The sequence below is a fragment of the Homo sapiens genome, chromosome 6 (assembly GCF_000001405.40).
Source record: "Homo sapiens chromosome 6, GRCh38.p14 Primary Assembly".
Classification (NCBI taxonomy): Eukaryota; Metazoa; Chordata; class Mammalia; order Primates; family Hominidae; genus Homo; species Homo sapiens.
In genome coordinates, this window is record NC_000006.12 from 96606312 (window position 1) to 96624932 (window position 18621).

The 18621-nt window shown below is 35.8% G+C and overlaps 1 protein-coding gene across 5 annotated transcripts in view; it reads left to right on the forward strand.

The window, feature by feature from the left end:
- Positions 1-12315, forward strand: part of FHL5 (four and a half LIM domains 5) — a 56053-nt gene extending 43738 nt beyond the window's left edge. For all 5 annotated transcript variants that reach the window (NM_020482.6, XM_047419567.1, NM_001170807.3 and 2 more), the window contains 2 exons: positions 4261-4447; positions 9298-12315. In NM_020482.6, the coding sequence (NP_065228.4) occupies positions 4261-4447; positions 9298-9461 (351 nt within the window). In that variant the 3' untranslated portion in view covers positions 9462-12315. The remainder of the gene's footprint in view (positions 1-4260; positions 4448-9297) is intronic.
- The last annotated feature ends 6306 nt before the right edge of the window (positions 12316-18621 follow it).

Here is an 18621-nt window from a genome sequence, read left to right on the forward strand (position 1 = left end):
GATTTGGTATTCCAGTTCATTTCACTGTTTTTTGTTGTTGTTGTTGTTTTATTTTTTTGGGATGGAATCTCGCTCTGTCACCCAGGCTGGAGTGCAGTGGTACAATCTCGGCTCACTGCAACCTCTGCCTTCCAGGTTCAAGAGATTCTCATGTCTCAGCCTTCCAAGTAGCTGGGATTACAGGTGCGTGCCACTGTGTCCAGCTAATTTTTGTATTTTTAGTAGAGACAGGGTTTCACCATGTTGGCTAGTCTGGTCTCGAACTCCTGACCTCAGGTGATCCACCTGCCTTGGCCTTCCAAAGTACTGGGATTACAGGCATGAGCCACCACACTCGGCCCATTCACTGCTTTTATACAAGATCTCACGTATTCTGGGAGAAAGCACAGGTCTCTCTTTGAATACAGATGTTTCTTAAAAAATAATGTTTGATCTATTCAGTATTAACTGTTTCAGAGAAATATGGATTTGCCTCACAAAGTGACTAAGGGAACCAAGTTAAACAGGATGTTTAACTTCTCACATTCTTTCTCAGCAATGCAAATGTCTTCTTGACTTGAAGCTTTTGTATTTCCTATGAGTAGGGCAATCGGCTCAAGAGAGTGCCAAGATCATGGGGGAAGTTCAGTAGACAAAAGACAGAAAGAAGACTAAGAGCAGCAAGTTCCTTCACTCCAGTTCCAGGATCATGTAGGGCCTTCTGACTTGGCTTCCCACTCAAAAAAAACATTTTCTAAGAGAAAAAAAAAGTAATATTTTTGAAGTAAACTTCATCCAATTCTTTTTTTATCCTCTAAGCTTTTATGTGAAAAAGTAGCTCTAACACCTTGATGAAGCCTGTCTGCATTCCATAAAATATATATGGAGGTTCTCAAAGAAATCCTTGACCTGCGAGGCATCATAAGTTTAAAATGACACCATAAATTGTCATGAGAAAGCTGAATCATGAAAATACATTGGATTAGTATAGTGGTTTCAAAGTATTTTTTATCTGTGGGTTACTTTGGCAGAACTCTTAAGCCCATTTGTATATCTGGACAGCTGGAAGTCACACTACCACTTTCTATGCACACATATGTGAACACACATGCACATACACACACACACACACACACGCAGTTAACTGTTTAACATACATAACCAATACCACTACTGCATTTAAAGAGGCAGCAATACACTATGCTAAGTTATCATTATTAAATTACACTATGTTGATGGCTGAGAATTACAATTGATCACATGACATAAAATAATCTTATGACTGAGACCTTCATTACTCTACCAAAACACTGGCTTAGAAGGTGACTTTACAAGCAGCAATCAAGCCATATGACATATGAAGCTCCAAAGAATTACCAGGGTCAATGACGGCATTTAAAAACATGCTGGAGCTGGGCATGGTGGCTCACGTCTGTAATCCCAACACTTTGGAAAGCCAAGGTGGGAAGATTGCCTGAGGCCAGGAGTTCAAGACCAGCCTGGGCAACATAGTGACACCCTGTCTGTATAAAAAAAAAAAAAAGTTTAAAAATTAGCCAAGTATGGTGACACGTGCCTGTAGTCCCAGCTACTTGGGTGGCTGAGGCAGGAGGATCACTTGGGCCCAGAAATTCAAGGCTGCAGTGAGCTATGATTGAGCCACTGTACTCCAGCCTGGGTGACAATGAGATCCTATCTCTAAAAAATATACAAAACTTAAAAACTAAAGAAAATAAAATCTTGCTGGAAATAAAATGAATAGGTTTATCTCACTGTTTTGAGAGACAACTGAGTTGGCCAATTTTAGGCTGCATTTCTTAAAGACAGACTAAAACAGTAATGATATTTGTGAGAATTATCCTAAAATCATTTATCAGACACAATAATGAAGACTCTTTCAATGCTATAACAATTCAAGAGTGAAACTTCTTTAGTACATCCATGCTGAGCACTGTCTGGGCCAAGTGCTGATGTTTCCCAGGTTATTGGAGCCTGTAACTATATTTAGGATATGATTTGAAGTCATCAAAAATTTACAAAATATTTATATTGGGTAGTAGACAGATTATGACATGCCAGATTATTTTTTATTTAGTTTTTAAAACCACAAGTCCTTTTCTAAAAAGCTAGATTTGTTTTTGATCAAGATGATCCAATCTAAACAATTTTTTTCAACCCAAACCAAAGACCAAATATTTTCTTAAAAAAAGGAAAAACTACTTGACAACCAGGCTGTTAGAACTTTTAAGCTTTAAAATCCATAGATTTTATTTTGTTAAACTAAGATTTATTTTCTGCCAGAAAGCAAATGATTTTAAACTACAAGTGCTTCAAATTCAAACTCCTCAAGGTTCAAAAGGAGTTAAACGTCTTCTTCGATTTTTCATCTGTCACATAATGAGTGCAAAATCATTATTGCCCCCACTTTTTCACAGAACAAACTTGTTCTAAATCCTGAGATCAATCAGTGGTGAAAACCAAGCTTAGATATTAGACTTTATCTTACCTTCCTACCTCTTCAAAAGGAATATAATCACAAGCAAACTATTTTTGATGTTCCAGAATTTCTTCTCTCTAATTAAACAGTCTTTGGTGTATATATCAAGTTTTATTTTGCTGTGAATACATTTTTCAAGTTTCAGATCTTTTAAGCATTGCCTGCTAATCATCAGACCAAACAAATCAAAGGAATCATGAATTCTGCTGTGTCTGCTGTAAGGCATTGGAAGTCAGTAGGAGGTATTTTAAATTGCTTTACTTCCATCACAACATTATGCTTCCCATTTACTTATTCAGAATAGTATGCTTTTTTCCCTCTAGGAAAATATCTTTCATATCAAATATCTTTAATTTCTAAGATATTTGTTATAAGATTAAAAATACCTTTAGAATAATTTTTTCACAAGTCTATGTAACAGACAAATAACATTTTTGAGTTCGTAAACAACGAGGCGGCTTAAAATAGGCTCTAAGTTTTTACTACCTAGTTAATTTGATACAAAGGTTATAGGAACCACCTCAGATACCCCATTGCTTCAGTCATTATAAAACACTTACAAAAACACATTCCAGTATCTACAGCAATTCTAAGAGCTCATTAGCTGTGAATTCAAAAGGTGATGTGGCTTAAAAATAGTTACATGAGAAAAAATGCCCAAGATTTATCCATCTGATTCTAACTAAAGATTTCTCAGCCTTTTAAAAAGTAGAATTCATGGATTAAATTGGTTTAGAAAGAAAATATTATCTTATGCAGAACTAATTACATCTCAGGCAAAACACTGCACATCACACCTTAAGGCTCAATGTACAACCAGGGCTTATTCCATTGAGTTCTAATTCCCACAGCACCCCACTGCTAGATACAATATTGGAATTGCTTTCCAACTATTTTTTCCTTTGGCATTTATTCATTCATTCAACAAGGATTTTCAACTGCTTATCTGTGTAAGGTAACCTTGACTCAGTATGGCACTGATGGTGATGCACACAGGCTGTGGAATCAGACCATGCAGGTTTGAATCCTAGCTCACTATGGCCATGGCAAGTAACTTAATGACTGTAACCCTCACTAGTTGCTCATCTGAAAAGAGGGAAAGATAATAGTCTGTAGTATGTAGAGGTGTTGAGAATATTCAGAAGAGATCATCCTTAGCACGGTGGTAAGGACTGAAAAAACACTTAAGAAATGGTAGTTGTTATTAGCAAATAATGGTGCTTACCAATTCCATTCAGAATTACTGCTGTTGGATATTCTTGGACCTGGTGTAAAGCATTCAGGAAAAAGAAGAATTCTTTTAAGCATCCCTAAAGTTAGACAGGTAGTTATAAGAACATAGTATAGAAAATAGCTCTAACGGCAGATCTTTAAAAACCAAAATTAAGAAAATTCAGAGAAGTATGAGGAAGTGAAAAAAGAACCTGTGTGGTTTTTCTCCCCCATCTTCCTGAGTCCAATATGGCCCTGCCTCTGTTCTATTTCATTGTAGGAGAAAAATATACAATAATTTCCATTTCTTTCTACTTCTAATTAATTCCTATAGCCTTTGGCTTCTCATATTATTAATTTTTAATGACTTTTTGAGGAAAAGAACATCCTAACATAAGGTGAAAATAGAGTAGCCAAAAGCACCAGTTGTGGCATAGAAGACATGAAATGATCTTTTTTTTTTCTTTTTGCTTCCTTTTCTCCCCAGAGATACTAGGATCTCAAAAGAATCATGAAATGATCTGAATTGTAATGGCTCCCATGGTCATTGCCTTTTCTGTGGTCTTTGGCAGGTGATAACTTCAGGTGGGATAACATTTTGTGACCAGCTATGGCATAAAGAGTGTTTTCTGTGTAGTGGCTGTAGGAAAGATCTCTGTGAAGAACAGTTCATGTCCAGAGACGACTATCCATTCTGCGTGGACTGCTACAACCATCTTTATGCCAACAAGTGTGTAGCCTGTTCCAAACCCATTAGTGGTGAGTTCTTCAGTTCAATATGATCATGCCATGAGACAGTTATGACTTTATGAAACACTATCTAGTTAATTTAGGAAAAGCAATTAAAAAATGGGAAGCTTTCCTTTATATTTCCTTTTGAGATAAACACAAGTGGGTGCATATATATGAGTATAAATATTACATGGATTCCTCAAGGAAAGTACAAGAGTATAATTTGGGTGACTATACTCTGTGAAGGTAACTACATACTAAACCTAATGGTACTGACTCTAACATTCAAGGAAGGAGGAGAACAGGATGAGCTGAGAGGTTAGTGCAGGCCTTCACGAGGAGATCTGCTTGCAGCCTCATTAAGTTTTGAGTGGGAGGAGAAGAGTACTAATAAATCAAAATCCTGCTTAATTCTAAAATAGGACCAAGCATCCTTTAGTTAGGAAGGTTTTAATTAAATTCCACTATTGTATAGAACATCTGAAGCTGTAATAATTAAGGTAGCATAGGTCAGTAATTAATTAAACTTCATTTTAAGATGCTTCTAACAAATGTATTACTCTCTTTTCTCTATTCACTTGCAATTATGAAGTGTGTTTATGAGTAGATGAAAGAAAACAAGATAGCATTTTACTGAAAAAAAAATGTGACATGATTTGAAAATAACATAATGATAAATCAATCCATGTTAAAGAGGTTTTCAAGGTAAAAAGAAATACATCTTTTCCTCAGAGACACTTTTAAAATGCTAATCCTATAATAAAGGAACTGAAACTAGCATGACACTTGAGAAACTCAGCAGCTATTCTTTCTGGCAATTTATAATCACTTAATAATGTGTCAGAACTGTATATCTACTTTCTATTCCTAGTATTCTTAGAACATATTTCAATTTTTAGTTGTTCATATACCATAGAATTAAAGATCATTTTATCCCTTTCCTCCTTCTTCATCTTCAAATATGTGGCAAAATAAAAGTTGAGTCTTCATGCACTTTCCAACCAAAAGAAAAAGTTTCACAGCAAACCCCACCTTGGCAGGCTTTCACTGACTTGCAAAGGGAGGGAGGGTGTCACCAGAAAAAAACAGCATGGTCTTATTTGTCTATATGGAGCACCATCTGTGTCAGGATCTCACACTGGCTCACGGGCTACATCTGGCAAGCAGGCTGTTGATGTTTGGCCTGAACATGTTTGGAAATAACTAATGTAAAATCCATCTCTGCAGCTAAAAGTAGAGGAAGAGCCTGCCATTGGGTGAGCAGACTGCCTCCACATTCCCCAGCAGGGTCACCATCATATGGAACTCGTGGCTGTCCAATTGCATGGGGCATGCCCTCTCTGTCCCTTGCACCCTGTCTGCATCACTCAGCTAGATCACCTCCCTGGCCCTTGCAAGAACTTGCCTTAGCAATCCCACACCACTCGGCTCCAGGGTCCATGCTTTTAATTACCCTGCTCTCCTGCCTTCTACAAATTTGACAATTCCTATAGCCAAGAGATCTCCACTGATTTTAGTTAGAAAATGGGACTTTCAGATATCCAACAATACCTGGAGCTCCAGAATCTCCCAAGTAAAATCTGCAATCACAGTCCATTTATTTTATAACAACACTTATCTTGAATTGGGACAGAAAAAAAAAGGGGACTTCAATGAGAAAATAAGGAAATTAACAACTCAAAATAAGTTTCAAAATTCTCTGGAGATCCAGATGGCTAATACTGATCTGCAAAAAGCCTACACAAGCCCTGAACTTGAGTTTCAATTCTGGTATATCACAGATTCATGTGCCTAAGTGATTTTTTTCATAGATTGTTCCAGATCAATCACTGGGCCCAGCTTTTTAAAGTTGAGATGGAAAAACAACGTTGTTCTGCACAAAAACATGAGGATGATCAAAAGTAAATAATCTGACCCAAAAGTAATCTAAATTTTACCCAAAAGTAATCTAAATATTATATATTTAATTTAGACTCATCAGTCCACAGGAAATGTCTAATAACTATCTTAATCTTTTTTTTAACTTTGTGATTGAGACACCAGAGGCTGAAATGCCTGCAAAAACTTACAACTCACTTTACTATTTCTTCATCTAATTGTTAAATATCTATAGGCCCTGAAGTACTGCTTCTTTAAAATTGAGCTATTTGAACTGATGTACCATTGGGAATTCTGATATTGTCACACGTCTTCGGAAAATTGGCATTAATCTGATTATTATGTCACTTTAAAAGCTAGGTATTCTTGGTCAAAGGATACACAATTTCAGTTAAACAGGGGAAATAATTTCAAGATCTATTGTACAACATAGTGACTATAGTTAACAACTATGTATTATATACTTGAAAATTGCTAAGAGAATAGATTTTTAAATGTTCTCACCACACACACAAAAAAGCATATGATAAGGTAATAGATATGTTAATTGCCTTGATTTAGCCATTCCACAATGCATACATATACAAAAACATGTTATATAATATATGTACAATTTTTATTTGTCAATTAAGATTAATCAATTATTTTTTTAAAAAGCTCTGAGAAATCTACCCATAAATCACCAAGTGTAATTTTTAAAACCCATCACATTGAACTGCTTCATTTGAACAAACTCCAGATATAGCTACCATATTTTCTCCTCCTTTGAGATAGGATTAACCTCTTAAACTATCAGGGATAAATGAAGCTGCTTGATGCAGTGAAAGGTGCTCTGGACTGAGGAGCAAAAGACTTGGTCCTCCCTGCCCCCACTGCTGTGTCACCATGGGTGACTAACTCACCTCAGGGGTGGGGGGCCTTCATTTGCCTTATTTATAAAACAAGCAGTTGAGCAGGTTGGCTTTCTTCCATCTCTGTTTATTTCAAGGAAAAGGAATTTCAAATGTTGTGGCTTCTTCAGAGAGTGATGCTGATGTTCCTGATCATATTCTTTACCAAAGATAAACTCAAACTTAGTTTCATGAGGTTAAAAGCAGAGACTCTAAAGACAGATGGCCCTGGCCTGTGCTTAAATCTTAGATCTGCTGCTTACTAGCTGGGTGACCTGGGGCAAGCGGTTAAACTTCTCACTTCTCAGTTTTTGTCTGCAAAGTGGGGCTGATGCTAATATCTGACCCCATGAAGGTAAGGTGAGGGCTGTATACGGTAACACACATAAAGGACTTAGAATAGTAATTGGCACACAGTCAAGCACTCAACAAATGCCAGCTCTTATTCTACTGACTTGTCAGAAACCTATGAAACCAGATAACACAGGTGTCAAAGACCTGCTTCATGAATGGCTTTCTTACTGCAAACAACCCTCATGACCTAAGGGAGTAAACATATTCCTTTTGGAACAGTTTACATACATCTCACATGTTGGTTCAGCCCTTTCTTAAAGTTGCCAGATGCTTCTACTTTTTCTTATTTGTAAAATTCCGGAAGAATTGCTTTTATATTTGCCACTTGTACAAGGCTTACTAATAAAATTAAGAAAAACTCATGAGCATCAAAATGCTAGACATGTAATAATTAGTTTTATGAACAGCATAATTTATGTATATACAGAACATTACTCTTGCAGTCAGCTTATTAATGTTTTGAATAACATTAAGGGAATTAAGTAGTACATAATTAATTTACATTTATTAGGAAGTAATGTTGATAGCATCATAGATAAGCAAGCTATAAATTTAATCAAGGAAAGTAGAGAAATTTGATGCAATTTTCTGTATGAACTACTAAATTATATATGAAGACATCAAATAAGTTTGTTAGGATGGAAACAAAAGTTCATTATCCTATTTAAGAAGAATGTATCTGAAATAGAATGCTATTCACCCTTTCACTTCACCATTCCAAATGGAGTATTTGGAAATTACATATGAATTACATAACTCTTTTAGCCTCACTCCATGGATGATAAGCAAATAATAGCACTAAGATTACTGGGAGAAAACATGAAATAAATAAAGACCCAAGCCTAGGGCATCTCAACCTCTTCCCAAACCCTAACATTTTCTCCTTTAATGTAACTTCTCAAAATCAATTTCTTGAACTATACCCTGGAATCACATTAAGGAGACAGAGATCAGACCCTCACCGAAGATTCAAATTCGACTACTTTTTAAAGAAACAGTATGGTTCAAGTGAGGCCCAAGTTAAAGTGGAGGAGGCTGACAAAGCTCTTAGAAACCAATCACGTGATAACGTGGCTTCATTGGCCAGATTCAACAAAAGCTGAAGCTGGCTCTGAGCAAGGTAATAAGGCCATCACGTTAGGATGGCTGAATGATTAGACAAAATCCTCTATTTGGTTATGCTTTCTAGAAATAGTGTCCCAAACCGTATAACCCCAGGACATATTCTAAGTACAACTAAGCACAGAAAAATGAGGGGAAAGAAGAAAACTAAAACTCATTACAACATTGGACATCAAACTAGGAAGCATACATTTATTTCCTTTTATCTTCATTTTGCAGCTAAGAAAACTTAAAGTCATATAGAGAAAAAGGGGAAATGTATTCATACTTAGATATCTCTGACTTCACAACCTATACCTTCTTTCCACTATGCTACACTGTATTGTCTTATCTGGCTTAGACAACCTTATCTGTTTCCAAAAATACCTGACTTGCATATTAGCATTCTGCCTTCTTCTGTTGATTATGGCAGAATTTGGCTGTGAATCTGGTTGGGTGGCATAGGTGTAACTTTCCTACAGTGGATAGTTCCAGATGGACACAGGGCCAGGAAGCAGCATTCTTTTTTGGGTTATTTGCCTCTGCGTTGTTTTGCTCATAGCTCTATCTCCAGTTCCTAGAGGAGCATCTGCTAGAATGCTCAATCTGTTCCTTGAAAGGATAGATTAATCTTTTTCTCCAATTCCTTTACAGGTCTCACAGGTGCCAAGTTTATCTGCTTTCAAGACAGCCAGTGGCATAGCGAATGCTTTAACTGCGGGAAATGCTCTGTCTCCTTGGTGGGTAAAGGCTTCCTGACCCAGAACAAGGAAATCTTCTGCCAAAAATGTGGCTCCGGAATGGACACTGACATCTAGGAGACAGTCCTTGCCCACCTAAAATCCATTTTGCCTTCGTTGTCACTAAAGCCAGAACTCAGTTGCGGTCTTATTTTTGACTTAAGTTTTAGAAAATATTCATGTAGTTTAGAGTGGAAAAGTTTTTGCACACATTTTGATCGAACTATATTCTAAGCACACAAAAAGCACAGTAGAACAGAAATGAATATATGCTAAATCACAAAGACAACTCTCCTTGCAAAATACTGCACTCTGCTGTTAGAAGCAGAGGAAAATATCTCTTCATAATCAAATATATGACATATACCTAGGAGCTGTGGATGTAATTACTGAAGAATGAGGTTTTTCATACCTGAAGAGTAAAAGAAAAACTAAGAGATCAAACTGAGAGGTATACATGAGGCTAGTGTTTGCATTCCTGGTTATATGTAATGTGATAAATTAGCTATGAATGGTAAAAGAACAAAACTGATCAGAGTAAATTCATTAGCAATTATCACATTTAAGAATTGTTATCATTTAAAAATCATCCTTTTTTTCACACATACTGACTGTAGAATTAAAAAACAAAGCTACAATTTGCCCTCATACACACTGCTTCCACAGCTTGCTAGTTCTGTGTTTACTCAATGGAATATGAGAACTGAGGACATTATGGCTCTCATAATCTGCATAGGTATAAAGAGGATCATTTCTACCTAGGGATAGCCAAAGCATGGGTTTCAACACGTTTTGTATTAAATATATTTTCAAAGTCCACAGTGATTTTTCTAAACGCTTACAGATTCCATGAAATAAAAGTCTATTCTTTCAAGTGGAGCTAACCAGGATAATCTTTGTCCCCAAAGGCAAACCTTTAAAATAAATAGATCATTAAATCTTCACTTGTGGAAATGAGTTTTAGGGAAGGGATTGAGTCTTGGAACATGACTTTCATCCAGATATCTAACGACATAATAGAATGCATAATTAGCTCTGTGCCTCATGCATTATTGCCTTCTAAAATTACATAAATGATTAATGGGCAGACATAAAAGTGGGCTTTAAAGAAATCTAGTAATAATAAAAGCTGAAAAAGAATAATTCACTGCTGATAATTCAGAACCTGCAAAGCAGCACAATAGAGTAATGTGGGCTGTAGGCGAGCCCTCCCCACTCTTCCCCCACACCTGTGCCACACCCCCCTTACCCCAAGCCAGTTGTGCCCCCAGTTTCAATCTCCTGCATAACCAGGAGGTGCACTCCTAACCCTAAGCAACTGTCCTATAAGTCAGTCAGTGTTTATTGATCACACAGGAAGTAAAGAGCCTTAGTGAGAAGTCCATCACCAGGTTTATCTTTATACCAGACTTTAACTGATCATGACCCTATCTTGCTACCCCTGGATATTTTCCACATTACTTGGGACAAATGGAAAGCAACCTCTGCTCTCCATGATCTGTTTTCACATTGGTTATAGCATCTCTTGGATGGAGTAGAGGGAGGTCAGGAGAAGAAGCCCACATAGATATATAACTGTCTTCTCTCAGATTACACATTATAGCATTAAAGGTTTTGATTAAAATCTAATTGTAAGATACTGCTGATTACAATTACCAAAATAGCATCACAGGAGATTCAATTAAAATTGTTATGGAAATAATTTTTGAAATAGTTTAAAATGCAAGAATATTCAGCGATGTTAATAATTTAGAGATACTAATAAGTGTTCTGCTAGATAGACTATTTGAAAACTATAAATGTATTTTTGGATTAACAATGCCAAGGTATTTTTTCATATTCACATTGAAAAATACAGGCAAAACTATCAATATTTTTTCTGCATTATATGAAATTTCACAGGTAGAACTAAATCTATGATATAGAAAATAATAGCACATTACACATAGAGAAAACCAAGCCACTTAGGTTTAGATAGATATATAACATGTAACATCTTCTCTGTTAACCAATTATAGATACATATACAACATGTAATGTTTTCTTAGTTAAACAATTGGAAATGTTTAGGCATTTTACTGTGTGGGGGCAGTGAGTATGCACATGATCAGACTTGTATTCTAGCTTTACAATTAAAATTCACAGAATCATTTCCTAAAGATTTTATTATCCTTTCATAAGTATAAATATATATACTTTTACATATAAATAGTTCTGCATTTAGAAGGTATCCTACACATCAAACATCCATTAAACATGTACTATGCCAAAAGTTAGAGCTTATACTGTTGTGGGTCTGGAGTTGTAGGAGGATGGATCATGGTATGGAAATGCAGAAGTGCCTGATGCAAAGATCCTTGCCTGCAGGTTAAACAAAGCACCACATATGTAGACATAGCACACATATGCAAAACAACTAAGAAAAAGACCTCCTTAGGTCTTTGCGTAACACACACAAAGATAAATGTAAAAATTATATAGTTGATTTATATGGTTTATGTAACAAAGAGAAAAACTCCTTAATGGACTTATCCAAAGATGAAATGGACTGACTCAGGAAACAGTGGGCTCCCAGTAATTCAAAGGTGACATCTGCATGGGCAGGAAAGAAGTTAAAAGCAAATCCCATGTGCCAATAACAACCAGATGGCTTGGAAGTAGCAGAGACTGCCGAAGAGCAGGAGAAAATAAGATTGCTAAAAGAGAAAGAGTCAGAGGAAGGGAGAATATTAACTCTTAGGATAAAAAGTGACATAACCGGCCATAGAAAGTTACCAACTGTTCATAAGTAAAGGAAGAAAATAATTATTGTAGTGTTTGAGGAAAATTATGCTTTTGATCCTTTGTGGAATAGAACCAAAGAAAGCAAGGTTCCAAGGATTAAGTTTCTTACTGAAGGAATAAGTTTGGTTAATGGCTACAAAAGTGAAAAGAAAGAGGAAGAAGGCATTGAAGGCCACGAGTTACATTTGTTGGCAAAGATGAGTATGCAAGTCAACAAGTCAAAATATTTTATTTTGTCATGTTGGGGATTAAAGATGACAAAAGAAGCAAAAATGTATTTCTGCTTCAATAATAATGACTAGGAAGCCCAAGGGTTCAATTTTAACTTGGCATTATAAAAGTGTTAAATTGGGACAAACTAGCTCCACTGGTTAAGTAAAATGTGGTTATGTTACAATCCAGGCTTCAAAGCTTACATCGTTGCTATAACTTAAAAAAAAGAAACACTAGATTGTTCATTAGAGTAAAATATTGGCCTACCATTATGAAAAATGCATAACACTAATCACAAATGGTTAAAAAAAACTGCCAAATTTAATATCACAAATGAAAAGTCAATCCAAAAACACATTTCATGTTAGCAATACCATTTTTGAATTTAAGAAAAAAATAACTTTTAATCTACTTGGCATATTGTTAATTGTCTGTGTTTTAAATAAGAAAATGGTTGTTTAGCCGGGCACGGTGGCTCACGCCTGTAATCCCAGCACTTTGGGAGGCCAAGGCGGGCGGATCACGAGGTCAGGAGATCTAGACCAGCCTGGCTAACACGGTGAAACCCCGTCTCTACTAAAAATACAAAAAATTAGCCGGGCACGGTGGCGGGCGCCTGTAGTCCCAGATACTCGGGAGGCTGAGGCAGGAGAATGGCGTGAACCCGGGACGCGGAGCTTGCAGTGAGCCGAGATGGCGCCACTGCACTCCAGCCTGGGCGACAGAGCAAGACTCTCTCTCAAAACAAAAAGAAAAAAAAAGAAAATAGTTGTTACGGTATGTTTTAGATATATTTAATCAAGCACATAGTCTGTAATGCACCTATAGATAGATGTTTATTATGATAATGATACAGTTTTTGCTAATTTTATACATTGGTTTTTAGAAGTCTCTTATACTGAATAAATTTACATTTTACATAGTCTATATTACTCACATTATTTTTAAAGATTTATTTTTTACATTAACTGTTTAGTAAACAGAATAGGTGTGGAATAAATTCTGTAGTGTTTCTACTTCGATTACATAAAGAAACATGATAACTTTTACCTTCTATTACCCATCTGTTTTTACAACATTCAAATTATAACTATATATTCAGATATTATTTCAGGGCATTAATAGGAAAAAAACAAAATTGTCCGACCCAAACAGAATCTCTCTTCTGTTAAATTAGGGGATCCATAGCTATGCTCTTTCTTACAGTAATAAAATGGTGAAAATATTCTAAACTAAAAATATCCTCTAATTATTATTTCTGTGACTCTGAAAATATTTCATGAAAAAAATCCCACTTCAATTGAATTTTTCTGCTTTGATGCAGATAGTCTTTTGCTAATTTCTTATTTCTATATGTAAGGAATTGCTAAAACTCTTGGTGGCTTTAAACCCTTATTTATTCTATCTAAAGCAAAATTTATGTCTAGTACACAAATCTTCATGAAACTTTAATCCACATTATTAGTATCATTTAGTTACTCTCCAGAATTAATCTTGGAAGCTGAATTCTTTTAACGACCAAAGATGTTCCACAAAGACTATTTGAAAGAACACCCTCATCAAACATTTCTAGTTCACTTTTTAAATCACATGGTTTTGAAAAGTACTGATCTTGTGGGGACCCAAAAGATAAACTTTTTGTCTTGGAATAGTGTCTCTTCAATGAAAGAGTCAGAATATCACTAGAAATTACAGTTGTTAGGTATTACCTTTATCCTAAACCTCTTCTTCCAGGAGTATTAAGTCTTTAGATCTTCATTATCCTACCAGAAACATTGCAGGATTGACTGAGATGGGATCATCATTAAAAAATGTATGGGAACTTTGAGGTCCTCTTTTCAGGGAGAGGTAAAGGAGACCTGTCAAGACTTGGGAAAATACATCACCAGGATAGATTTGGCCTTAAGACTTCTCAGAATTTACTGAATCTGTATTGTGTTATGTCAACATTTAAAAAAGGATATCGAGGAGAGAGGACATCAAGGCTTCATTTGAACCATCCATCTCAAAAGAATTTAGAAATGAGACCATCCATTCAAGTCATCCATGTGCCTTCTTAGATGGTCCCAAAAATGTATCATCCAGAGAGAATTAGAGAAGTTTTGTATGATAATTATAACCATTCTGAATTTTTCTGGTTGATAAGCTTTAGACTAGATACTCAGTTCAATATGGAGGAAATCAAAAAGGAGGGAAAAGAAACGAGATTCAGACTCAAAGTTGGAGTCTATAAAAGAAATAACAGAGTTTACACGTATTTGAAATGACTGGATTTTATATCACTGTGGTTGAGAAAGGGAACAGCTCGCTGTGATAGAATTATGATCCCTGTCACCGAGGAGCAAAGAGTATTTGGGTCAAATATTTTCCCACGAATGTTAACAAACTTATGGAGTGGATGTCCATAAAGGGTTCTCTAAATGAGGAACATTAATGAGCTCAGCAGACATTCATCCAGTGACTCAAACAGTGACATTAAATGCTATTCCTGCTACACACAAAAACAAAAAGTTTGATATTTACGGAATTCCACACACTGAATCCTTAAGGCTTATTCCTTCTTTAAAAAATGACATCCTATCCCTTGTTTGCCTCTGTAGCATCACTGATAAGTCTGTTTATTTGAGAGCTTCAACCCAACCTCTCAAACAGGAAATGAATGAAGGAGTATGGATAGAGGAAAAATGGAGAAAAAGAGTGTGGTGATAAAAATTTTGACATTTCTGAAAAAAAATAAAAAATTAAAATTTTAAAACTTTTGTTTTCCCTATGTAATAGAAACTTTCCAAAACTACAAGATAGTTACAAGAGGCAAAATACATGCACAAAAAAAGGAAAAGTTTGATAAAATTTTGGGCTTAAGGACTACAGTTAGTATCAGTCTTCTCCCCTCCATGGAAATTACTCTCTTAGACATCACCAACTAATATGTAGCCACAAAAGTCCATGATTGCTTCTTCAACTTTCTGTCTGCTATGAGATAGGCACTTGCTATCGTTGGCTTCCTCAAGCTTCTTCAAAATCTTTCTGCCAGTGGCATCCATGACACCATTCTCTCCTATGTCTCCTAAATCTCTGCCCCATTCACTGGCACACCATCCTCTATCAATTTCTTAAAAACAAATATTCCTAAATATTCTTGACCTCCTTGCTCTATATTTTCTCTGTTGGTGAACTTACCTAATTCCATGATTTCAATTGCTTTCTCTGGATAGCTGAGTTCCAAATATACATCTTCTGCCTTGAATTCTCTTCTGAGTTCCAGACCCAGGTTTCTCATTGCCTTTTGGACATCTCAAACCAATGTCATGCACACACCTAAAAATAACTTTATTATCCTTCCTCCAAATTCCACTTATCGTCCTCTGTTCCTCATCATAGTTAATGCATCATCCAAATAGAGCTTTTTGAATTCAAGTCTTGGGTACATGAAAAGTAGTCATTAGGGAAATGCAAATTAAAACCACAATGAGATACCATTTCACACAGACTAGAATGGCTATAATAAGACAGACAGTAACAAGTATTGTTACGGATGTAGAGGGACAGGAACTTTCATATATTGCTGGCAGTAATGAAAATGATAGAAAATGATACAGCTATTTTGGAAAACAGTTTGATAGTTTCTCAAAAAGCTAAACATAAAACTACCATAAAACCCAGAAATTTCACTCATATCTGCCCAAGAGAAATGAAAATATATGTCCACACAAATGTTCATAGCAGCATTATTCATAATAGCCCAAACTTGAAACAATCCAAGTATTCAACTGATAAATAGATGAAAGAAGTATGATACAGCCATATAATATAATATGATGCAGCCATAAAAAGGAATGAAGTATTGATACATGCTACAACATGAATGAACTTTGGAAATATTACGCTAAGTGAAAGAAGTCAGACAAAAAGGCCACATACTGTATGATTCCATGTATACAAGATGCTCAGAACAGGCAAATTTCCAGAGACAAAGTCGATTAGTGGTTTCCTGGGGTTAGGGTCATGAATTGTAATTAACTGCAAATGCCCACGAGGAAACTTTTTGGAAAGAATGAAAATATTCTCAAACTAATTTATGGTAATCATTGCACCACTTGATAAAATTACTAAAAATCATTGACTTATAGACTTGAAATGAGTGAACTGCATGATATGTAAACTATAGCTCAATAAAGCTGGGTTTTTTTTAAATCTATCTTGGATTTTCCCTCTCACCAATTCCTTACATCTGAGCCCTGTAAGAAAAGCCACAATTTTTTCGTTTTCCCTTGCAGACTTATTTTGTTTCCCCAAAATACCATTCACTTTAATTTTTATGTGCTCCTGCCCATGCTGTTTCCTCTGCTTAGGATTCTCTTCCTCTCACCTGCCTGTCAAAATTTTAGTCAACCTCTAAAGCCCAGATCAAAGTTGCCTCCTATGTGAAACCTTTACTAATATCCCTTAGCAAAATTTAATCATTTCCTGCAACTTCTTTTTTATAATTCTGTGAGAAGTTTAAACAACTTGGTTTATATTACAGTTAGGAGTGATAGGCAACCTGGTTAAACGATGGTTCTTGGAGTCAGAAAAGCTGGTTTCAGATCCCAGCTCTGCCACGGGCTTGTTATGTGACGTTTGGTTAAGTTACCGAACTCTGAGCCTTGGTTTCTCAATTTTCCAGTATAAATCTCAAAAAGTTTGATGTGAATATGAAATAAAATATATGCAAACTGCTTTACATCTACCTGGAACATATTCAACATATTATAAAGTTATTAAAATGTCAATTATCTTCACCTTCCTTCCCACCCCTACTCGACCCTATATCATATGTTTATTCATCTTTGATAAACTCAGTGCTTAGTGAAGTGTCTGGCACTGGGTAGACAGCCAATAAATACTTTCTGAATTAAATTCTAGTTGTGAAAATATTATTGCTATAATATTCTCCTAGTGTCAGTTGTCAATAATCATGATTAATATGTAAATCCCTTTTGCTATTGGCCTCAATCATGTTGTATAGAGTTGCCCATGTAAGAAGCAGCTAGATGGCAAATTAATGCCTCTAGTTTCAAGTATCTTCATTGAAGTTTTGATTTTGATACCACTGTTTCCTCTGTCCATATACTATTAATCTATAGAATATGCCTTTCTCAACCAGCACTCACAGGGTGTCTGGAGACACTTAATTTTCAGGTGCTTTGGAGAATAACTGCCTATATTTGAAGTTTCCTCTAGGGCCCTCAAAGTAGATGTTTTAGGCATTGCATAGCTTTTTGTTAAGCCAGACCATCCTAAATATGCCTGCCAAATTTGGAGTCAATCTGTCCAAGTTTTGTATCATGTGTGTACAGACAGCTAGAAATGCAATTGTACTTACTTTGATTAAATCTCAAAATGCATTCTCTGTGTTCCTCAAAAATGCAGCCAATTTTACTTTAACCTACGCTGAGTATGTGTAGCTTTGGACATATTAAATTATTTTATCATACCAGAACAGCATTTATGGGCTGCCTCAATCCTCCCATGGTACAGCATTTCTCTTGTTCTTCCTTATTAAGCTTCCTATTTTTTTTTTGACACTTTCACCTTTCCTGTTCCAGTGTTCTCCTTCTCTTAATGTGCACTAATTCCTAGTGGATATAAGTTTAGGATATTAACATAATTACTTCGGATGGAATTCTAGAAAATAAACATCTAGGCATTTCTTTATCCATTTACCTGGTCCTTAACTAGCACCCACACTTTTCTTGCCTGATGCCCCAGTATTAAACTCAATATGTAGCTTCTAAGAACAGAAATACAAGTCCACAGCTAGAAAATGTTCAGAGACAGATATTAAAACTGGGAGAAATAAAAACTCTCTGGGTATTGAAACTTTAATTCTCATTCTTAGGTTTTTCATAAAATCTTCTATTATCTCTCATAAGAAGTATGTTTCTAGCTGCCAGTATGAGGCTTTTGTCAGTTTATGAGGAGAGTAATATCAAAACCCACAACTGCTTTGATTCTCAAAAGAAATATTAAAGACCTTTAGTTTGTAATCATAATGTACAATAATTGTTGAAAATCTTCAGCTAGTTATCTTCTTTGTGAATAATTGTTACCTTAAAGTGACAACAATCTCCCTTTCAAATACATCTGAAGCAAATGCAGGCAGGTGTAGGTGATGTTGTCTTAGCTTTCTTTACCTCCCCCAGTAAGAACCTCCAGCACTCTCCATGTCCCTAGGAATATGAAATGCGCTTGCCTTCAT